Source organism: Homo sapiens, chromosome 6 (genome assembly GCF_000001405.40).
Source record: "Homo sapiens chromosome 6, GRCh38.p14 Primary Assembly".
NCBI lineage: Eukaryota > Metazoa > Chordata > Mammalia > Primates > Hominidae > Homo > Homo sapiens.
Genome location: NC_000006.12, coordinates 16,562,813 through 16,587,464, shown reverse-complemented (window position 1 = coordinate 16,587,464; position 24,652 = coordinate 16,562,813). Strand labels below are relative to the sequence as shown.

The 24,652-nt window shown below is 40.3% G+C and overlaps 1 protein-coding gene across 3 annotated transcripts in view; it reads left to right on the top strand.

Annotated features, from left to right (window-relative positions):
* ATXN1 (ataxin 1) overlaps positions 1–24,652 on the top strand; it is a 462,349-nt gene that overhangs the window by 173,996 nt on the left and 263,701 nt on the right. For all 3 annotated transcript variants that reach the window (NM_001128164.2, NM_001357857.2, NM_000332.4), the window contains one exon: positions 1,558–1,685. The gene's annotated coding sequence lies outside the window, so the exon portion shown is untranslated. The remainder of the gene's footprint in view (positions 1–1,557; positions 1,686–24,652) is intronic.

Here is a 24,652-nt window from a genome sequence, read left to right as displayed (position 1 = left end):
TTGTGTTGCAGTGATTCTAAGATCTGTATTAGTATGTAGACTTTGTGAACAGGTAAACATGTTTAAGAATTTTTTAAGACATGGCTGTATTAGATATCGAAATTCCTCTCTTCATTTTCATATCTTTACTTTGGAATTCATATATGCCTTTTGATGTTATCATCTGACTTGTTTCTAATGAAATTTAGCCGCTTAGGCAGGACGTGGATTTTAGGTTTCTGCTTAGTGTTTTGGCATCTGGATTTGGGATTACTTAGCATTTTTAATTTACTAAAATAACCACCAACTTACACTCAGTTGAAATATGAACATGTCGGTTTCACTTGAGCTTGGGAATTAAAATCAAAGTACAGTCAAATCCAAAACAAATAATAGTAATTTTAAGACTAGGTGACATAACCCTCTGGGAAAAATGAGGTGATAGTGATTTGATACTTTTTTTTTTTTTGAGACAGAGTCTTGCTTTGTCACCAGGCTGGAGTGCAGTGGCATGATCTCAGCTCACTGCAAACTCTGCCTTCCGGTTCAAGTGATTCTCCTGCCTCAGCTTCCTGAGTAGCTGGGATTACGGGCACGCACCACCATGCGTGGCTAATTTTTGTATTTTTAGTAGAGATGGGGTTACACCATGTTGGCCAGGATGGTCTCGATCTCCTGACCTCATGATCCGCCCACCTCAGCCTCCCAAAGTGCTGGGATTACAGGCATGAGCCACCATGCCCCAGCCCCGATATGTTTTAATACTAACTACAGAAGTGTTGGTAGAAAGATCAGCCTTGAAGAGATGGTATAGTACTAGAATCCTAAGCATGACCTCTGTGAACTGTTGGCTTAAGTACTGGCTTTAACATCCGTTGGCTGTATTTACTGTCAGTTTTCTTGTCAATAATGCAGAGGTAAACATGATTCCTGGCCACCTCACAGACTGCAGTGGAGTGGGGCAATGTGTGTAAAGCCCTTAGCACATGGCCCAGAACATAGTAAATGTTTAATCAATGTTCGTGATGACCTTGGCCATCACTGACATCATGTCTTAACTGAGTTATTAACAAAGAGGCATGTGTAGTTTCAAAAGTGAAAGTGAGGCCGGAATGGTAAATACATGCACTGAATTTGCATAATTTTGTGGCTAGAAGGAGTCTTAGAGAAAGAGAGCATCAAATTCAGCAATGTTTCTGACATTTTCTATGAAGAACTGACTGCTTGTTATTTCTTAGAAATCTTAGAATCATTGAGCAGGGAAGGAGGGGCAGGAACGGGATTATTTTGATAGTGGTGTCCTCAAGGGGAGGAGATGGGGTGGGAAGCAACCCCTGGCCAGAACCCACTCATCCCTGGGGATAGGGACCTGCTGTGTCTCTGCCTGCTGAGTTTTTGACATTCTGATTTAAAAACCTTGTGTGTGTGTGTGTGTGTGTGTGCGCATGCTTGCGTGTGTGCATGTGTGTGTGAGAGATTATGCAATATGATGTTTCCCGTTTCTGTGACTTCAGCGAATGTGAATGAAGACCACAGAAGCAGCCTAACTCAGTGAGAATATTGTTTTTATAATTACAGGTCTAGGCGTTTTACACTGAGATTCTCCACTGCCACCCTTTCTACTCAAGCAAAATCTTCGTGAAAAGATCTGCTGCAAGGAACTGATAGCTTATGGTTCTCCATTGTGATGAAAGCACATGGTACAGGTAAACATCTCCAAAAGCTTTAAAGGAAAATAATTATCATTGAGTTGTAAAGTCCCCAAGATAGTGGTGGGGGTGTATACATATCTGGTCACACAAACATACACACACAACATACACATGTCTATTCATGTAGACTCCATTTTTTCCTACTGTCTCTTTTATAAAAATGGAACCCTTGCTTTTTTATGGGAAAGGAAATAACTTCTACTTATTTTGAGGTCACTAGTTAGGATAGATGACAAGGCATTGCTGATAATTCTGAAGGCATTTATAAATTTATAGATTTATAAATTCACTTAGAGAGACAAACATCAAATGGTAGTAGAGATTGTAGAAGTAGTAGAGATTATTAAGAGTATTGTTCCTCTTAACAATATAATTCTGAACATCTTTCATAGCAACAGATATTTTTCTACCGTATAGTTATTAATGATTAGTATACCATTGAGTAAACATTCTAAAATTTATTTAATTTATATCCCTTCTAACTGGACAGTTAGCCGTTTCTAATTTTTTTGCCTTTTTATTTTCTTGAGATAGGGTCTCACTCTGTCACCCAGGCTGGAGTGCAGTGGCATGATTTTGGCTCATTGCAGCTTCCACCTCCAAGGCTCAAGTGATCCTCCCACCTCAGCCTCCCAAGTATTAATAGCTGGGACTACAGGTGCACATCACCATGCCTGGCTAACTTTTGTATTTTTTTTTTTTATATAGTGATGAGGTTTTGCCATGTTGCCCAGGCTGGTCTCAAACTCGTGACCTCAAGCAGTCTTCCCACCTCAGCCTCCCAAAGTGTTGGGATTACAGGCGTGATCCACCACACCCAGACATTTTATTGCTTTCATGATGCCAAAAATATTCTTATAGCTCTGTATTAGTTCCCATTACAAATTATTTCCTTAGGCTAATTTCTTAGCAGCATACTGGTAAATGTAAGAGTTTTCAAGTTTTACGGCTTTTGGTAACTTGTTGCCAAATTACTTTCAGTAAAGTCATACCAGTTTGTATTTCCAGAGGCAGTTTATGAGAGCGTCTACTTAATACAGTTTTCCAATGCTGAGAATTTTGAAAACAAAAAGAGTTTTTTGCTGACTGATTATGCAAAATGGTGTTTCCATGTATTTTGGGTTTTGGGGGTGGGGGGGGTCATTTGTAAGTCAAGTAAATTGTACTGTTTTGTAGAACCTTCCTCCATTAGACAGCAGCATCCTTGAAACTTACCAGATTTCGACATTTCAGAAATAATATTAAATCCAGAAGGAGTAGAAGGGTCCTAGGGAATTTTAAGTTCTTCCTTTCTGGCCAAGTATTTTTAGACAACTATGAAATCACTAGATACAATCATTTTTCAGTGGAAAGCATAATTTTTCATTTCTTAAAAAGAGCAAAAAGGTATTTAATAAAAAAATTTTATTAGATATGTATCTGAAGTTATACTGCTCATTAGTTTAAAAATATGTATGTGCCTATATATGTATGTGTGTGTGTATATATATATATGTGTATATGTGTGTGTGTGTGTGTGTGTGTGTGTGTATATATATATATATATATATGTCCAATATCGGGAACATGATTAAATATAACTATGTTAGTGCCATATGATGGAAAAGCTGTAGATAAGATTGCAAGCTTCAGGCTGCCTGGGCTCAAATTCCAGCTCTGCTGTTTTCTTGAAGTGTGACATTGGGCAAGTTACTTTGCATGTAAAATTCGGATAATAATAGTACCCTTCTCCCTTGGGTGTTGCTGCAAATAATATATATGAAATGTTTAAAATCGTTAAAACTCCTATTTCAGGAGTATTTAATCATTTGAGAAAATGATCAATATAGAAGTAAACAAATGTAGGGTATTGGCATGAACCATAGTATAATCCTAATCTTCCAAAATTACTTTGCCTCTCTTTCCTCCCTCTTTTCATCCTCCTCTAGTATCTACAAAAAGGGTTTAGCATACTTCTGAATGGATTTAATTTGTATTAGTGGAGTAATCCCAGTCCTGGAGAGACTTCCTGATTCAAGTTTTCAAGTCAGAGACCCATTTTTCACAGAGCTTTGAAACCATGGCTGTCTGGATCACCTGGCTGGGGGCACCCTTGGAGCAGCCGTTGGGTGAGAGCAGAGCTTCCTTCCCAGCCAGGGCTGCCTAGCTCCTGTGGTACAGCAAGTGCCTTGGGCACAGAGTCCCTCACCGTCTGGCACCATATGTGAGCTGCCCTAGTTGGCTCATCTCTTCCCGTCATTACTAAATAAGCTTCATTTCACTAAATAAATGAAAGAGAAGGTAGATGAAGAGACCCCCCCGCCACACCCAGCTCTTAGGAAACGCATGCTTTATCCTACAGATGCATGAAGGGGAAGGCTGTAGGTTTGTGAATCTCTTGACCCTTTGGCTCCATCGTAACGTTGAAAAGTGAAAGGAAAAGTGGTCAAAGAATCATTTGGCATGAAGGAGACAAACACAGAACGACGTGTACGGCTTCAGCCTCTGCCTTTCACTGGTTACCCTGCTATGAGCTTGTGTATGTAGACGCTGCATTCGTTTTGGCCCTAATTTCTGGTCTAATTTGAACAGCTCTGTATTTCTCAGCAGAAGAGGAATATCTGAATTCCTAATTAAGACATGTTAGCTTAAGAATACCTCCTTAATGTGTCATAAATCATTCCCCTGTGACTATGAGGATGAATAAGAAAACAAAACTTGGATTTATACACACATGTATATTATTTCAACAAAATTAATAAGTTCATAGAGGGAGAGAGGACAACAAATGTGTTAGCAAATATAGGTCAGGAAAAGAGTTCATAATGTTCTGCCAGATTCTGATGAGGCACCTCATGAGTGTAGGTAGAAGGCCTCAAGTAACGGTAGTGGGAATGGTAATAACACTACCATATGGAACATTTGGTATTTGAATAGCACTTAGCTTCCTCCCAAACTACAAAATCAATAAAGACTCAGAGAGGAAGAAAGGATTCTCTTGCTGTGGATCACTGGCTGGTGTGCAGAAATGCAGACGTGTTGGTTGTCAAGGGCTTACCAGAATAAATTTCTCTAGGGAGACAGGAGAGTGGGAAATACTTAACCATATTAATTGTGCTGTGACCTCAGATCTGTGGTCAGCAGTTTTTGGTTGTTTCCATATACTGCACATGGTTGCCCACACCATTTTTGCATTCATGTACAAGACCTATCTGCAAGACCAGGCAGAATCATTGTTGAAATCTTAGTTCGCAAAGTCCCATGGGGACTTTGGGGTGTCTTAGGATTTTGCCAGCACAAAGTTAAAGCACAACTTTTGAATTGTGAGAAACTGAGACAAGGTCTTTAATTTTAATCCCATTCAGTCATTCCTCACTCATTTATTAATTTAGCAAAGGCCTTTTTAGGGGCAGCTATGTCCCAGTATAGGGCTGGGCATTGAAGATAATGGAGGAAAACAAGATTGACAAAAGACTGGCCCTAATGGAGTTTACAGTTCTCAGGGAGATACAGTCAACACCATCATAACTGGTTTGGGGGAACAGGGGAGATGAACTGGACCATTCTAAAAGGAGGCAAGAGGTGCATCTGAAATTGGAAACTGGAGAAACCAGGGGAGACAGACCTGTTGATCTGGAAGGCATAGAACAGAAAGAACCAGAGAATAGTCAGGGACTGACAATGAGGTTGTGATTGTTGACAGCCGGACCAGGCCAGGAAATGAAGAAGGTAAGGAGAGAAGCGTACTGTCTAACACCCCTCGAATGCACAGTTGCTAGGGCCAGTAAAGATCATCGGGCTACTCATCTCTCAATTTAGGTAATGTAAATGATGCATCTTATTGACAATCCATATCCTTAAGAAATTGTGAAATGAGTCTTTTACTTTTTATAACTCTACAAACATGTTAGAAAGATGGATGTCACCGTGTCTTTATCACAGTATGGTGATTTTTCTTAACCACCCAAAGGAAGAATCGAGGTGCACCAGAACACGTGTACCTTGTTCTCTTATTAACCATATCCTTTTTCTTACTTTACCCACTATAATTCACCTCAGAGAGTGAGATTAATTATATAATTAATCCTACCTTTTGTGCACATGCATAATTAACTTTATTTAGTTCACTTTAAACAGATTTTAGGTTCCAGATCTAAATAATAGCCCCTCCATTTGTCACATCTTGACCTCTTTACTATTTGGTACCCTTCCACTCAGCATTGTTTGTGGGATTGTGGTTCTTCTTACCTTCCTCCCTCCATTCCTGGGTGCTTTTAGTGGTCTCTTAAATAACAGGCTCTGCTCAGAGATTTCTTTTATCTCCTTAGGCCTTGACCTGCATTTGGTAAAGGCTGCATTTTTAGCTTCGGATTTACTGTCTTTGACGAACCTTTTTCTCTATTGTATCCCTCCCTGGTCAGCTGCTCTCTTCGGGCCCTCAAACATCCACCACGTACTCTACCCAGATGTTTTCTTCTTTCTTTAACATGTCCAGTTGAGTTGCCCATATCATCCCCTACTCCCCATCCACACACCCACCCAGCACACACACACACACACACACGCGCGCACACACACACACACACACACACACACACAGTGCATTCTCGAACATGGGGTCTTTTCCCCTTCAGGCACCGTATGTAACCCACCCCGCCCCTCAGCTCTTAGGAAATGTTTCCTTTATCCTACAGAAACACAAAAAGAAAAACTGTAGGGTTGTGAGTCCCTCTCAACCCTTCGACTACATCTATATCATAAGGTTGAAAATGAAATGAAAAAGGTTGAAATGTACATTTCTAAGGTTAAGAAAATCCTACTGATATTAAGTATTTAAAACACAGACTTCCCCAAAATTTATCTTTCAGCATAAATATGCCCTTCCCTTTTCTCCCACCCTTCCTTCAATCTGTAGATAGCCTCCATAATTCATAGCCAGTTTGGGTAAAGGCATTATTTTGAGACATTTAATGATTTTTTTAGGAAAAGCGAAAAAATGTAGGGTCAAAGATTCAAGAGTATATTGTGTTTTATATGTAGGCGTAGCTTTTAAACTATTTTGGATACTTTAAAGTTTTAAAATAACTTACCAGGCTTCTTTATGAAGCATTTTATTCTTTGAAAGTTTTATAAATAATATGATTTCTGGTGTCAGTATGGAAACATTCACATAGTTGTAATAACTCTCATGAAATAAGGTAGACTATTCCATCATCTGTGTTTACTCTTAAAACACATTAGAAAATGGTTGATATCAAAGCTTACAATTTTGTCTTTCTTATTGCTACCCTAAAGCAGACTGCTGCACAGACCTTCCCCTGCTACACTAATGCTGCTTTCAATGTTGGCAAACCATACTACTCAAAGTGCGGGCAAAACTCGAGGTAGAAATCCAACTTTCATACAGCTTTATCAAAATGACAGTATTCTATGGTACTTTTCAAATCACTATTTTTTTCTCTTAGAGGTTATCAAATGAAATGAAGCATTTAAATATGTTTTCTAAATTCAGGAATGTGAGATAGGAGAGCTTTTGACATTATAGGATTCAGCGGTGGAAGAGAAAATGAACATCCAGTTCCCTTTCTCCCTAACTCAAGATCTGTGCTCCCTGAATATCATTAGTGCTTCTCATTTCATCAGTGTTCAAATAGTGAATCATTCATTCACTGATTGTTGAAACAACTGTTATAAGATTTGGAAATAATATACAGAACATCTTGGAAGTACTTTTTTTTTATTAGCAAGAAGCAGCTATATGCCAAAAGTATTAAGAAGGATCATCTCTTCAGAATAAGTGAGAAGTATATCACTGGTAATTTTTTAGATTTTTGCTGAATGTTTTAGTAAAATTTGGGAAGGTAGTTTTTTTTTGAGTTGGCAATTATATGCTGTCCCTCTTGTTTTCTCTTCCAAAATAATCATTCTTCTCTCTCTCTCTCTCTCTAAAATGGGAGCCACAGAGCCACTGTCAGAATTGTATACATATAAACCTGAGAACATTGCCTGGCCTGGCACATAGTCAATGCTCAATAAACATTTCTTGCTACTGTATCTACTGTGTTCTGTTCCCCCTCTGTTCAACACCCTGTATTTTTTCCTGGTGGAGATTTTCCTGAGTACCTAAACAAATAAACATAGCCAAACAAAACAAGAATTCAGTGCTGATGCCGTGTGCTTTAGAAGCTGGGTCTGTGCTTGACTTGACTGACGGAGATGTGATACTCTGAGTGTGTCTGCAGATAAAGCCAAATTCAAAATTCAAGTGAAACGCCCTTGGACTTGGGAATGAATCGGCGGGTGGGGGGGGGGGGCTTTGACCAAGGTACTCAGTGACCCTGTGCTTCCAAGTTCTCCATCTGTAACATGAGTGGTTTGCTCTCAGAGGTTTCTTCCACCTCTAAAAATTACCATCATTTTGCAACCTTGATGCTTTAAGACTTTGAAGTCCCTGTGGAAAAGAACCTATGAAAAGCGGTCACTGTTTCTGTTTTCCCCGTGCATTTTAGTGGCTGCATAGAGTGTTTTTTGGTGTGTGTCTTCCATCTTGCTCAGGTGGAGCTAATGACCTCCTTCTCCAGGATAGACAATAAAACAAACCAAAACAAAAACACTCTGTTCATGCACAAAGGCAACCCTCTTCCAGATGCTTAACCCCTTAAATGAGTATTTCGATGACACAGAGGGATCATCACTTCACTTGCCACTGAAATACAGCCATCTCTGGAGTGAAATTTGGCAGCTGGGAAGTAGTCAAGCTGCAGTACTTATATGACAGTTTGGGGAAAAGGAGTGAGACAGAAATAGCAGATTCCAAAATAATCCCATTAAAACAGCAGGGAAAGTGGAATTGGGCAATAAGATGGGAGGATGGTTTGCCCCAAAGTCTGACTGTCCTGTTTAGACAATGCGGACTTCAGCCCCAGAAGCTCTAACTTGTGTCACTGCTGGAATATAGTGACCACAGTCAAGAATCCCCTACACACACCCCAAAAAGGGGGGCTTATCTAATGTCCCATTGATCTATCGTCTTGTGATTTTTTTTTTTTTCTCTTTTTCCTGCTACTCTAGTTATCAGGCTGTGCTGGCACATAAATGGATCTGTCTTTTTAAAGCTACCTCTTCCTTTTGCCCCCTGCATAAGATAGTGTTGTAGGTAAGCATGTTATAACATCAGAAAGTACTCAGCTGAGAAGGAGTGATGTTAAAGCACCCTTTGGGCTGGCTCTGGAAGGATGAACTGACTGACCAGAAAGGAAAACTCTTCTGTTTAATTCCAGGATCTTGGGAATAACAGTGACAGAGAAAGAAGATTCGAGAAGTAGATGTGGTTGAGTACAAATGTAGAACTCTTCAGATTTTCTGGAATGGGGTAGCCATTGTGATAAATATTAGGATATGAGCGTGGAAGTCGTAGTGGATAAATTTGAAAGCTACTCAGCAATATGTGCAGCAACAGTTTTTAAAAAGCAAAAGGAAGATTTGTCAACATAGTTAGAAATCCTCAGATCCTCAGATAATGGAACATCATATCTCTCAAAAGGAAGATTCCAGGGAATAAAGAAAGCAGATGATAAGGGAACCTGGGCATTTTAGTTTAACCAGAAAATAGAACGTTACCAAAAAATTTAGAGATTAAAGAGTCAGTTTCATTTAGAAGCACATAAAATGTTTATGTAATGAGCAGAATTTATAGAGTCTACTATTATAAAATAGAACCAAAAATGAATTCAAGAAAAATGTAATAAAATTAATGTAGTGGGAGAAAATGAAATACAATATCAGAAATTCTAGTTTTGAATCTCAGTTCTGCAACTTATCAGCTTTGTGACCTTAGGGAAATCACTCAAAATCTGAGGGTTTTTTCCGCATCTCTATAAAATAGAAATAATTATAATATCTGTCTCACAGGGGTATTGTGATGATCAAATGAGATAATGCATTGAAAATGTTTTGTAAATTGTAGAGCCCTCTACATATGCTATTTCTATAACTCTGCAATTTCTTATGGCATGGAGTGAGCTCTCAGAGACAGTAATCACATGTGGAAATAGCTTAGAGAAGCAGTCATATCAGAGGCAAAATCTATTGTATAAAAATTTAAAAATTCATATGAATTATTTTTTCTGCTTCTCATTTTTCTGGCTCAGAAATTCTTCTATGTTTACAGAATTTTTCCAAAAATATTCTGGTAAGCCCTGTAACAGAATTGTCCACTCTCTGTTAAGCGGTAAACCACATGATTTTTTTTCCTTTTTTTTTTTTTTTTTTGAGACAGAGTCTTGCTCTGTTGCCCAAGCTGGAGTGCAATGGCACGATCTCGGCTCACTGCAACCTCTGCCTCCCAGGTTCAAGCAATCCTTTTGCCTCAGCTTCCCAAGTAGCTGGGACTACAGGTGTGCGCCACTGCACCTGGCTAATTTTTGTATTTTTAGTAGAGATGGGGTTTCACTATGTTGGCTAGGCTGGTCTCGAACTCCTGGCCTCAGGTGATCCACCCTCCTCGGCCTCCCAAAGGGCTGGGATTGCAGGCATGAGCCACCGTGCCCGGCCAAACCACAAGATTTTATAGTAAATATTGCCTGTGAGTAAACCTTGAATAACAACATTAAAGCAGAAGACTGCTATCTTGTGTCATTTGATAATCCTAATTTAGGGAGGTCTGGGCAGAGAAAAGCGGGGTGTGTCTGTGGTCTGGGGACAAGAGTAATGTAAGTAGCATGCCACATGATGAAGACTGAAACGGAGACAGTGAAGCACGGTAAATCTTTACTGAGTGTGGGCTGGTGTGCTGAAGTTCCCTTTATGCATCAGCCCATCTGTCTCATTAGCTTCTCTCTTAATCACAGGCTCCATGAAGTGTCTACTTGTCTTTTTTTAGCTTTTTATGTCAATCTCCTATAAAAGCAAAAGGAAGTCAACTGGCCTTTATGCTGTTTGTGTATACTCCATGCATGCTCGGGGTGGGGCCAGCTGTATTTATAAATGCATGCTAACATGGGGGTTACTCTGTGTGCATAAGAGCTTATTTGTATGTGCATTCATGAATATGTGTACATTTGGGCAGATACACAAAGACACAACACATATGTGCCTCTGCTGTATGCTCTCTTACATGGAAAAGACACATTGACATTAATTAGAAAAGGTGATATGAAACAGTGAAAGTAAAATTCCTTTCGGCAGTATTTACTATTGTAATTAAAGTGCATGATGTAACATTATATGTGCAGGAGAATTTGCTTATTCATCCTTTAGAACAATAGTAGGAGTTACATATTAACAGGTTTAAGTGTCAATAAGTGTCTGAATACAGATTCTCTATTGTGTGCAGTTCTTGTAATAAGGCAGTGTATTTTCCTTGTGTCTTTGCTTGCTTGGAATTGAAAATGCTTTGGATGAAGAATGTTGCAGAGTGTAATTTGTGGCAGAAAATATGCCCCCACTGTTTGTTTATTATTCCTGAGGACATTTGCTGGGCTGAACTATCATATGTAGAAAAGAACAGCTTTGTTTGGAAAATACTGTAAGAGCAGTACAAGAAAATTGAATTAAGTAAAGAGACTTAGGGAGTCCATCTTTCTCTGATGATATTCCTTATTTGCTCTTCATTATTCCCTGTGAAGGAATAAAAACGATGAAATTGGATTTGAAGACTGGATTAAGACAAATGACTTTTCAGATTTTTTTTTTTTTACCTTAGCTGTTTCCAATTTTCCTAGAAAAGCACATAGTCACTATATAAAGAGTCTGAGTTTATTGCATTAAATCTTCCTAAATAGTGTGCCCTTGAGGTTTGATGTGGGGAATTAGTTTAGAAGATTCAGGGGCTTGGAGTACCTGCTAACTGTGTGATGGCGTGTGTCTCTAGAAATTTTATATGCCCATTGATTTTTATAGAGCAAGCAGTACAATAGAAGGGAAGCAGGATGCTGCTTGGTCTTAAGGAAGTCTTTCCTGCCTACCAATTGCCACACCCCTTTTTCTCCAGGTAGAGTTGACTATGTTTTCTTCTGGGCCATTGCTGTACTTGCCTAATACTTTTAATAAGGACTTGCAAATGTGCCTGTAGGTCTCTTCTAACTAGGCTGTAAACCACTCGGACAGAGGAATTGTTTTATTTCTTGTAACTCTAACACCTAACACAAGGCCCTCAAGATAACCTGTCAAATGAATGAACAGATGAGCTGAATACCCGCTGTGTGCCTGTTCTTGTCTTAAGACATGAGGGACAACCTGTAACACAGGACACAATGTGGCTGTGTCTGCTCTGAAATGGTAGAATATCTAGCTACAGCTTAGAATAACTGGGTAAGGAAATAAATGCTGGATTATAACCCAAAGAATAAAATATCCAACGAGTCCAATGAATAAATAAATAAGGGAAAAGGAATGACTCTTCCCTGCAGCAGAATTTCAGTTAATAAACAAACGAGGAAGGAAGCAGTATGAAAACATCATTAGAACTCATAGTAAGAATTGCCACGAGAAAGTCCCACCGATGGATGCATTAGATGGGCAGATGTGGATTAGATGGATTAGAATGAGCGGGCAAAAGTATATGCAGAAACAGGAAATTCGTAGAATTTTAAAATATCCCTACCCCAAACATTTAGTAATTACAAGGAGAAAAATAAAAGTTTACGGTGAAGAATCCTGGCAGACATCACCTTAACTGAGTGATCAAGGTTAATGTCACCAGTGATACATATTGACATCGTGTGTCCCACTGAGAAGGGCGTGTCATCTCTGATATCCTCCCTGAAAAGGCATAATCTCACTCTAATCAAGAAAAAAATAGCAAACTCAAATGGAAGGACATTCGAAAAAATAACTGACCCCTCCCCTTAAAATTGTCAAGGTCTTTAAGGATAAGGAAGGATTCAGGAACTGTCACAGATTAGCAGAAACTAAGAAATATGACCACATAAAATTCTAAGTATGATCCTGAAACAGGAAAAAAAAAAAAAAAGCCTGTTTGGTGCAAAAACTGGTGAAATCCTAATACACCCTACGGTTTGTTGAGTAGTCGTGACCCAGGTTAACTTTCTAGTTTTGATCGTGGTTCTATGGCTTTGTAAGCTGTTAATATAGGGGGAAACTGGGTGGAAGGTACAAGGGAGCTCTGTACTATTTTTGCCGCTTTCTGTAAATCTAAAATTATCTTCAAAAAAACCTAGTTGACACTTAGGTAGGCCGAGGTGGGCAGATCACTTGAGGTCAGGAGATCGAGACCAGACTGGCCAACATGGTGAAACCCCATCTCTACTGAAAATACAAAAATTAGGCCGGGTGCGGTGGCTCATGCCTGTAATCCCAACACTTTGGGAGGCCGAGGCGGGCGGATCACCTGAGGTCGGGAGTTCGAGACCACCCTGAGCAACATGGAGAAACCCCGTTTCTACTAAAAATACAAATAAAATTAGCTGGGCATGGTGGCGCATGCCTGTAATCCCAGCTACTCAAGAGGCTGAGGCAGGAGAAGCACTTGAACCCCGGAGGCAGAGGTTGCAGTGAGCCGAGATCGCGCCACTGCATGCCAGCCTGGGCGACAGAGCGAGACTCCGTCTCAAATAAATAAATAAATAAATAATACAAAAATTAGCTAGGCATGGTGGTGTGTACCTGTAATCCCAGCTACTTGGGAGGCTGAGGCAAGAGAATTGCTTGAACCTGGAAGGCAGAGGTTGCAGTGAGCTGAGATCCGGCCACTGCACTCCAGCCTGGGTGACAGAGTGAGACTCCATCAAAAAACAAAACAAAACAAAAAATCTAGTTCAGGGCACAATACCAATCCACAGGAAGCAATTATAGAGCAATCCATGACAACAGACAACTGAGAATTTGTAATGGGGTGCCAGTGTCAGGTTCAGAAGAGGAATGAGAAATGGCTGGGGATTGGAGTCTTCAGGAAGAGCTTCCTATGAGAAGCAAAGCCTGACAGGGACCTTAACAGGATGTGTAGTGATGATGGGTGGAGGAAACTGAGGGGTCATTGTAGGCACAGTGGCAGCAGGGACAAAAGCATGAGGAAGGGACACAGATGGCCTGCATGGGATATGTTGGAGGGGCCAGCGGAGTTATATGTGCATTGCTGGAGATTGGTATGAAAGAGAATTTGACAGCTGTGGGGATAACAGAGCTAAAGGATCACTAAGACCTGGCGGAGGAATGTGAAGTTAATGCAGGAGGTGACACAGAGTTCCCAGTTCTTGTTTATGGAAGGGGCTCAGTGAGTTTGTGTGTATATATCTGAAACCGGTGACAATGTATGTAGGGTGGCCAGAGTTGGGAGAAACAGGGGACAGGCGAGTCAGGAATTAAAGATAGGTAATGGGAGCCTATTCGTTTGAGGGTGTTGGGAGGATGGCAGGAAAGGAAAAGGGGGCAACATATTCAAAGGTATTTGAAGGGATAAAATAATATAACTTAGTAATTGTTGGATTTGGAGAATGGAGAGGAAGGAGTCAAAGATGATTTCTGGGTCATATTTACTGGACAGGTACTATTGGTGTCCATAACTGAAATAATCCATTCAGCAGATATTTGCATGCCTACATCGAGGAATAATGTATTCTAGGTGAGGAAGGAGGATTAAAAAGAATGTCAACACAGCATCTGCTTACGCTGGAATGTGGGCCAGAAAGCCTGTGGCTTAGGCTAGACTGAATGAATGGCCAGGTCAGCCTACTTAAGGAGTCCCTGCCCTCCACATAAAAAGAAGGGAAAGATTGCCCTACTCTGTTCCTAGCAGTAGCCATGAACAGTGTTAGAAGATCTTTCAAACTGACACTTCTGTCCTCTTGATAAAAATGTCAGGTCTACTGTTGGACCATACTCATAAAAACTCTGTTAAATCACCATTCTACTTAGGAAAAGGCCATTCATGCCCCACTTAACTCTGCCAAGATAGAGGATGCTGTGTTCCCAAGGTACCAAAACTGAAAGTTAAAATGCCATAAAAGTATACTGAACTTTATAGAAGAAAAAACAGAAAAAGTGTATGCATGCTTAAACCTCAAACTCTTGATCTTCAGGTACCATGTCTTTTCAACGTAGATAATATCACCTAGTGAGCACACCCTGAAGTCATGCTCTGGCTGGCTTTGCTGTGTTCTTTTTGTTTTCTCTTGGGCTTGTGTCTCACTCTGTGTTGGGTAGGAAAGGGTTTCTGTAGCCTTTATACCCTTGTTTTCATCACTTATTTCACGAATTTCCACTTATTACTCAAGAATAACCATATTTTTTTATCTCTATGACAAGCTGAAAACCTCCCTGTCAGCAATTATAGCCTGTTAGCCCTCACAGAGTCAGTCTTGGGGAGGTATGGCCTTGCGGTTCAGGGGCAGAACCGTAGGTGTATTCACCTGTGGAAGACTTAGACATACACATTTGATTATGGGTGGCAGTAATCAGATTTATGTTTTGAAGGTCTTCGAAGATCTCCGTCCCTTTCTCAGTCAACATTATACATCATTGTTTCTTAACAGTTGAGTCCTTATACCTTTTTTGGTATCAGTCGGTCATTAGGCCAAGTAAACATTTTATTGACAATAGGCAACTGAGGAGAAAATTAACCCTTTTTATAGTTAATTGTAAGTGGAAGTTGCTTGATATTCTTAAAAATATGAAATTGTGGAAGTTCTGGTTCTAGTCTGAGAATTGAGCATTGAGCATCACCTTTACAACATGTAGACTTAAACTTCAAATACCTTTATGATGCTGAGAACTCCCCATGGAATAGGAACCGGCCATGGCATATCTAAAACATGACTTACATAGCATTGCACGATATAATATGAATGCATGTTTTTTTGTAGAATTTAGAAAGAGGCTGAACGTGATGGCTCACCCCTGCAATCCCAGCACTTTGGGGGGCTGAGGTGGAAGGATCACTTGAAGCCACGAGTTTGAGACCAGCCTGGACAGCGTAGTGAGACCCTATCTCTACAAAAAAAATTTAAAACTTAGCTGAGCATGGTGGCATGAGCCTGTAGTCCTAGCTACTTGGGAGGCTTATGTAGGAGGATCACTTGAGTCTAGGAGTTTGAGGCTGCAGTGAGCTGTGATCGCACCACTACACTCCAGCCTGGGTGACAGAACAAGTCTTTGTCTCTTTAAGTTTTTTTTTTTTAATTAGCTGAGTGTAATGTTGTGAGTCTGTAGTCCTAGCTGCTCAGGAGGCTGAGGTGGGAGGATTGCTTGAGCCCAGGAGTTCAAGGTTACAGTGAGCTATGATTGCACCACTGCACACCAGTCTGGGTGGCAAAGTGAGACCCTGTCTCTAGAAAAATAAAATAAAAGAAAATAATGTATAAAAGAATGACATCTTTTGTAGAGCGGACATTGGAAATGGCAGAATACTCCATGAAGTAGCCTCTAGATTCCCTTTATGGGCTTGCTGTGGAAGCACATATGTTCACATTGGCAGAATAAAGACTCTTTTTATGTCCTTTTAAACTAATGTATTGACTTCAGTATTTTTTTTATAGGGAACATATTTCAAAATTGTAATGGTAGTCAATGGTTCTATGTAAAAATACTTTGTCTTTCCACAGACCCATATATACCAGCCAGGTCACCTTCATTCTCAGAGTGCCTGATGAGTAGAGTGCATTCAATACAATAGCTGTCTTGTTTTTTTAGCAGCAGAAGTGGGAGTCACATGCTGAACTCGGGAACCATTTTGAATTTATTCTCATAGCAATTGCAAGGTAAAGGCAGGCAGAATCCTTGCTGTGTAACCCTCAACAGAGCTCCATAAGGATTGGGAAATCAGGCCATGCTTTGTCAAAGAGAGGGTGCACACAGGCATCAAACAGGTCACTTCTCTTAATTCTTAGGCCACCACACAGGAAGCACATAATTATTTAATCCCTGGATCTTTCTAGAGATGCAACAAAGTGATGAGGGTGGACAGCTCCAGAAAATCGCTGTGCAAGGAGCAAGGGTAGAAAGCTAGGGTTTTGGATTAGACAGACTCCATTTCAAATTACATCTTAACTTAGTTTTTATTGTACCCTCTAACAACTTATGAATAAAATAAGGGGAATATATAGAGAGTTAGGCGTGGGGAATGGTTACAACTTATTTCTCTTCTTCACTTTCATCTGTCTTTCTTCAGTCTCTTCTCCCCTCTTCCATTAAAGGTAAACTGAATAAATGAATAGTGAATGAATGAAGTGAGCAAGCTGTTTTCAACAAAGTTCACTTGGTGCCACTTCCATGGATTTAGTTATAAAAGTGATATGATCCTAGTTATCTTAGGCAGAATACATATTTCTGTGACCCTAATCTACGTGGGTCCTACTTGAAACCTGGAAATGATAGGAAAAACCTTCTTGGGAAGGAGAAAAATGACCAATAAAAAAATTCTGAATTATACTTATAGATGAAGCCCTGGTGAACCCAGAGCCCTGTTGACTCACAAGGACACTCAAAGTAAGATTAGTGATTCAACACATTCACTTCTTCAGTTTCCCAAATAGATTAGAAGGAATAAGAGGGCTTTCTTGGGTTAAACTTACTAACCACAGTGAAGGAAGGAGAAAACCTATAAAAACTTGAAGTATTATAAAATCTCAGCGGTGTGAGGCCATTTCGTTTGAGGACAAACAAACCTAGTGGATTGTCCAGGGCAGGTGAATGTAAAGGACATTTCCTGAGATGCAACAAAGAGATGATGGTACAATGGGCAAGGATGTTGCAATAACAAGCAACCCCAACTCTTCAGGGTGGAACACAGTAGAAGTTCCTTTTTGATGGTGTTACGGATAACTTGGGGTGTTCTGCAGTTGGAGAGGGCGTCTGTATGGTGGTGATTCCCTGACCCAGGGTCCTTGTATCGCAAGGCTCAGACATTCCCTCAGTGTTGGGAGACCCTAAGGATCTTCTGCACCTGGCAGAAGAGAGAAGTGGGGAAGCGAGAGAGTGAGCAGTCTCCTGGGAGGTTTGTTGGTGAAATTGGCATATACCACTTCCTTCCATGTTCCCTTGACCAGAATTTAGTCATGTGGACATAGTCAACTGCAGGTAAAGTGGAGAATTGTCAGCCTGTATGTCAAGGAGTACAGGGAAACTGTTTTTTCAACAACTAACCAGTTTCTGCCACAACTGGATACCTTCCTGACGTCATCTTTACTCCCATCCCAGCCCCACCCGAGATTTGGCCATGAGTACCCTGTAATTTGCAGGGCATTATATCTCTGTCTCAGGAACAGCAGGAGACCACTGAGTCAATCGGAACTGTTTTTTTTTTTTTTTTTTCTGAGACGGAGTCTCACTCTGTCGCCCAGGCTGGAGTGCAGTGGTGTGAGCTTGGCTCACTACAGCCTCCACCTCCTGGGTTCAAGCGATTCTCCTGTCTTAGCCTCCCCAGTAGCTAGGATTACAAGGCTCACACCACCATGCCCAGCTAAATTTTTTATTTTTTATTTTTAGCAGAGACGAGGTTTCACCATGTTGGTCAGGCTGGTCTCGAACTCCTGACCTCAGGTGATCCGCCCACCTTGGCCTCCCAAAGTGCTGGGATTACAGGCGTGAGCCACCACCACGCCAGGCCAGGACTCTTCATCTTTTAAACCACCCGGGTCTGAACTGACAGTCCCTTATGTTATCTTCATGGGAAGAAGAGCAGGCAGTCATGTGTGGCTCCCCATGAAAAGGCAAGGAACCTTCTAGATACTGCCGCTAGAAACCAGGTGTGGGATAGAAGCCCTGCCTTTGATCTATACCTGTTGGTCAGGAACCTGCTTCTACTTTACTTCATTCATCTGCACTTCTTAGGAGCTGGGTCCTGTTCTTGTTTACCATTACTAAATTACGGGGAAATTCCTGAAATTATCCAGTCCTCCCAGATGGTTCATTCTTTGTGTGTATACCCAGAGCTTGGTCATGTCCCCATTCCTCTCTCTCAAGATTAGATCTGCTGTCAAAACCTAGAAACAAGTCTTTACTGAACTGAACTCTTTATTAGCCTTTGATTGCCAGATAACTGGACTTGGGAAGGGGAGTTTGGGAAAAAGGGTTAACTATATTAAATTTTTTTGGTGCTCTCTTATATGGGCTGGGATGAAGCATTTAGACAGTGGGAGAAGTATAGGAGAGGCAGACAGATGCCAGAAAAAAAAAACTTTGGTTGTTTCCAGGTACCGAAAAAGAAAGTTCATTTGTAAGTCACCCACCTCCTCATGATTTCTTCACCTCCTGTCCCCTGCTCATGGTACTAGAGTTTGTCTATATTATAAGCTCTATAGCTCTTTTTGCCTTCCTGCAAAACTAAGCACTATTTATAACACTGTTTCTCTGAGAAAATGTGTTTGGAGTTTCAAATAAATGACTTACAAATGAACTTTCTGTATACAACTCATTCATACATTGAGAACTGCCTGTACCGGGCATGTAACCTGGAGATAACTTTTATCTCTGCTTTATCAATATGGGCTTGTCAGGTTGACTTATGTGTACTTCTCTCTGCCTTCGTTTTGATGATAGCCTCTCTCTTAAAATTTAATACTCTCTTTATGTTTGGAGAAACATTCCCTTTGGCAGCGTTTCAAATATTCTTGCGAATTGGAATAGTGATTTTATTTTATCTCCCAATGTATCTTTAATAGGATTCATGGCTATGAAAATCTTTTGCACAGTCCGCCTATAAATTGTAGAAAAATTGAGAACTATTTAAAAGAAGGGGGCGCAGAAATAATCCTTTTCTAGTATTACTCTGGGTTGTCAGATATCTTTGCAATATAATTACTGTGTTGGTTTTTAAAGGTTAAAAGAGCTCTGACGTTTATAATTCTCTTTTGTGTGTGTGTTCTACACATATAAGGGGAAAATCTAACACATGGAAGGAAAATACTTTAGTTAACATAAAGGTCCTGAGCATTTTATGGTTTTTCAATACAGAGACATAATTCATGGATTTTATATTTGCTTTTACAGATATCTGGTGAATCAGTTATTTGCTCTGTGGAACCAATTTGCAGTTTACACACCTTGTTTATTTCTAAGCTGTGTGCATGGGTAATGTGTGCACAAAAATACTCTTGCTGACATTAGATTGTAAAGTAAAAAGGCGGAACACTGGTCCTGGAGATATGCCTTCTCAGGGAACTTACTATCCATATACAAGTAAAAATTTCTCATTGTTAGCAGAGCAGCTGACAGAATATGATCACAAATGTTGCTGATGCTGTTCTGTTAGGAGGTAGAAATAGAATGCCTAGGACTATGCAAGCTTGTCAGAGTTAGATTGTCAGGGTGATGTGCTTCCATATTAAAAAGAATACTTTGTTCCCCCCTCACACATGCACCCTTGCAGTGGAAAGAAACATTTATTTCAGAATAAGCGCAAGTTATTCTGACTTGCACTCACAGGCTCAGACTTTGATGCCAGTGTAGTTAAAATTTAGTGAATACCAGTCATGTTTAATGGTCTTTCCCTTCTGTTTAAAACAGTACTGCAGCCCATGCAAGAAACATTTCCCTTTAATTTTATGCATTTTGTGGTATCTTTTGATGGTTTTTCTCTACTGTCAAAACTGTGAGAATAATTTCAATGGCATGTTTTTTCTGCCATCTTCAGTTGGCAGTCATATCCCCCCAGATTGTCCTCATAGATTCCAGATCACCTTTATGTTTAATCTTCATTAATTGACAAGTACCTTTGAAAGGGTTTTGCAAAAATTGAACTGCAAAGCTGTGATTTAATACAAGGAAGGCTACATCAGTGTGAAAGAAAGCACTTTATGAACTGTAGAGTACTATTTAAAGGTGAGGCATTATAATTAAATATGCTCAGGTTGTTACTGAGCATTGAATGCCAAAGCATATGAAAGACAACTTACGATGCCAGGAGTTTGAGACTAGCCTAGGCAACACAGTGAGGACCCACCTCTACAAAATGTTTTTGTTGTTGTTGTTGTTGTTGTTGTTTTTGAGACGGAGTCTCACTCTGTTGCCCAGGCTGGAGTGCAGTGGTGTGATCTCGGCTCACTGCAACCTTTGCCTCCCAGATTCAAGCGATTCTCCTGCCTCAGCCTCCCGAGTAGCTGAGATTACAGGAACCCACCACCATGCCCGGCTAATTTTTTTTTGTATTTTTAGTAGAGACGGGGTTTCACAGTGTTCGCCAGGATGGTCTTGATCTCCTGACCTCGTGATCCGCCCGCCGTGGCCTCCCAAAGTGCTGGGATTACAGTCGTGAGCCACCGCGCCCAGCCTGTTTGTTTGTTTGTTTGTTTGTTTTTTAATTGGCCAGGCATGGTGAGATGTGCTTATAGTCCAGCTACTCTGGAGGCTGAGGCGGGAGGATCGCTTGAGCCCAGGAGTTTGAGATTACAGCAATGTTATGAGAGTAGCTAGAAGTTACACCAATGCTGCAGGAGTTTGGGGGAATCCAGAGTTGTAAAATGCCAACAAAAATTATTAATTAAGGGGATCTCTTAGCCGTCTCTTTGACCCTACAAAAAACATGGTGGTACTGAGTTTTTTAGCCTCACCCAAGCAAAAACAGAATAGGGCATTGTATTTCTTATATCTGGATGCAAAAACATGAAATGTTAATTGTAGATTATAAGTCATTAAGTGTCACGGATTTATGTTTTATGACAAGTTGGAGTTTACAGATTTCTAGGCTATTTTTTTCACATAGAGATACATGAAAGCTTTATTCTTGTTATTCAACGTAAATCTTTTATAATCTGCTCTCAATTTCCAGTATCCTGAAAAATCCTTTTTCTCTCTTTTTTGAGACCCTTCCCTCCCCCTACCATCCAGAGTCATGCAGTTAACAGTTCTGATAGTGCTTGGATTCATTTGTAGATTGTACATACCAAATGGAGCTGGCACCTCTTCATGGAAATTGGACCCAGTGGGCTATTTTACACTTGCCGGATGTGCTTTCCTCAGTAGAAGTTTATATTTTATAGCTGATACTCCATTGACCATAGTAACCTGTTATAAAACATGATGTTTTATCATTTGTTCTGTGTCTTCAGGGCTGAACATTTTATGGAGAGACTTTATTAACATTTAAAGAGACTTTATTAACCCTAGATATTAACATGGTTTACCTGGAAATTTTTTGAGCAATGTTTTCATTTGATTCCTGGAATGTTCAAATAGCAAAGGCAGTTTCTGTTGGTGTGCATGTGTGTGTTTGTGGTTAAAAGCCAGCATTACCCAGAGACCTTCTGGTTCATGTGGAAATTATTATTATTACTATGATTATTGTTATTTTTGCAAATGAATAAATTGTCATTCTGATTTTTTTAACCTCAACGTTCCTTTAAAAACACTGTTGATTTTTATGGAGAAGGTTGATTTCCTGGAAGTAATAATATGATGTTAGAGATTACTTTTTAGGCAATATTTTGGCATGTTTATCAGATAAATCAAACATCAAATAAATAGATTATGGGGAATGATTTTTCAGTAATCTCTTTTTGCAGTTTCTTCCCTAAACAAAATGATGTGGCCTATTAGGTGGATTGGTTTGGAGGACAATTGCTTACAGGGACCCTGTCCTTATGGTGTGGAGAAGCAGAAAAAACTCACAGTACTCCAGAGTAGCCCCCTTATTCTTTTTCATAAACTTCAAACTAGGTATGAAAGACCTGTCCACTTTAAAGCTTTCGCCTGTGAAGATAAAGCAGAGATTGATTTTTAACCACTATGCTCATATGGGGAAACAGAATGCAGGAGCTAAGATTTAAAGAAGCAGATGGGAAGAAGAGAAATAACCTCCTCTGGCATCCACCTGGAAATGTCTCCTGAGAAAGAGGATGGACATCTTCTGATATTCATAAGTCAAGGAACTGCTTGAATTCTGTATTCCGTGTACAGTATTCTACCTATCAAGACCCTCACCCAGGGAAGAAAGTCTTGTTTATTCAGGAGATGGGGAGCAGGAGGCATTGAGGACTGCATAGCTTATTTAAATTAAAAAAAAAAGTGCAATGAATTGCTTTTTAGTGTATTTACAGAGCTGTGCAGCTATCACCACAATAAATTTTAGAACATTTTCATCACCCCTAAAGGAAATCCCATACCCATCAGCAATCACTTCCCATTTTCCCCCAATCCTCTACCCTCAGCTCCTGGCAACCACGAAGCTGTTTCTCTATATATAGATTTGCTTGTTCTAGACATTCCATATAAATAGAATCATGCAATATGCGGACTTCTGTGACTGACTTCTTTCACTTAGCATAATGCTTTCAAGGATCATCCACATTTCAGCATACATCAGTCATTCATTTCTTGTTATGATGGAATAATGTAACATTGTATGGCTATACCTTATTTTGTTTATTCATTTATCAGTTGATGGACATTTGGGTTGTCTCCACTCTTTCACTATTATGAACAGTGCTGCTATGAACATTCCTTTCCAAGTTTTTGTGTAGACATAGTTTCATTTCTCTGTGCAGCCTACTTTTAGGTAGTTACAAATTAAGATTGTAAGTGATTTTTTTTTCATTTTACACATTTGTTCGCTTCACGATGGCCTCCTCTCTCTTCTTACCTATCTCACTCTCCCAAAAATGATTTTTCTTGAGAACATAGTTGTAGAAGGGTAAGAATATCAACCAACTTTTGCTAAGTATGAATGCCCAGGCGCTCTGCTAAGCATCATGTATGTGTTACAATGTTTCTCACTTTATAGACGGGGGCTGAGGTTTAGAGAGGCTGCTAAGCCTGGAGGTCATTCAGCTGAAAAGGTAGAAGAGCTGGGATTTGGACCCACATCCTGTTTACTCAGCAAGGTCCATGCTGTCTGTTGACTCCCTCATGATATGATCCCAGATCATACACCTGTTGAAATCTTAGAGAATTCTCTTTCTATTCGTGAGCTTCTCCCAATTGTATCCTAAAAAGTAAGGAATATAAATCAGATGCTCCGTCCTAAGCCCTTGGACCTGGAGCGGGCATTTGTGTTCCCCGTTGACAAAAAGATGATGAAATACTTCCTCTGTGTCTGAGTGCAGCGGCGTCATGGACCGGTGTTAAGTTTAACCTGACCCTTCTCTCTGCCCTGCAGTTGCTTCATCTCCTCACCTTAAGACTTCACCTTTCCTTCATTTCAGCTTCCCAGAGATACTGCCACACCCCGGACCTGTGTATCAACTTGAACCCTCACACCCCCCAACTTGGACCTTTCTAAATCTTAAAATCTCAGACTCTGTAGTTCTCTCTGGGCATAGCCTCCTGACCCCCTTGCTTTCCCTCTCTTCCTCAGAACTCAGTTGTCTCCTTATTGTGAGCCCTGACTCATCCCCCACTCTTGGTCACTATAGCCACTTTCTTCAGGCTCCGTATTCCTGCCCCCTAACCAGCCTAGACCTCATGGCTTGAAAGTTTAACTGTGCATGCCCAATAGCTTAGTGCCATGCATTCCTTTCCAGGCACCAATCCTGCATGATCCCCATCACCTGCACAGCTGCTTAGAGGCCCCCAAACCCAACTGATGGGTCCTGATGTAAATTCTTACTGTTAATCTGAGGAGAGTCATCATTGCTTTTCTAGTGGGCTCATAGTCACATTTCTTATGGGATCTATTCCAAACTTTTCCAGTCTCTTCAAAACTTACCCTCACCCTCACTTTGGTAGAGGACCATTTATTCATCTTGCTTTTTTAAAATCTTGAAGAATCCAGGCATGAATCCTTCTACTCTCTTTTTCCCTTTAATTCTGTCCGTTGCTCCTGTCTCACAGTTGCAGACAAGTGTTGCATGCTGTGCTCACGCATCCCAGAGGAGCAAGAAGACCTCCCACTCCGCAAGGCTCCAAGACCCCTCGTTTTCTGGATCCCTCTCTACCCTGACTTCTCTGAGGCTTTGTCACCTAGGTTATCTCCCTCTCCTGCTTGATCTTTCATTATCTTCATCTTAACCAAAACCTTCTCTTCAGTCTATGAATGTGCCTAGTGGTGTGGCCTGTCTTTTAAAAACTAAAGGAGCCCTTATTTTGACCTTGTT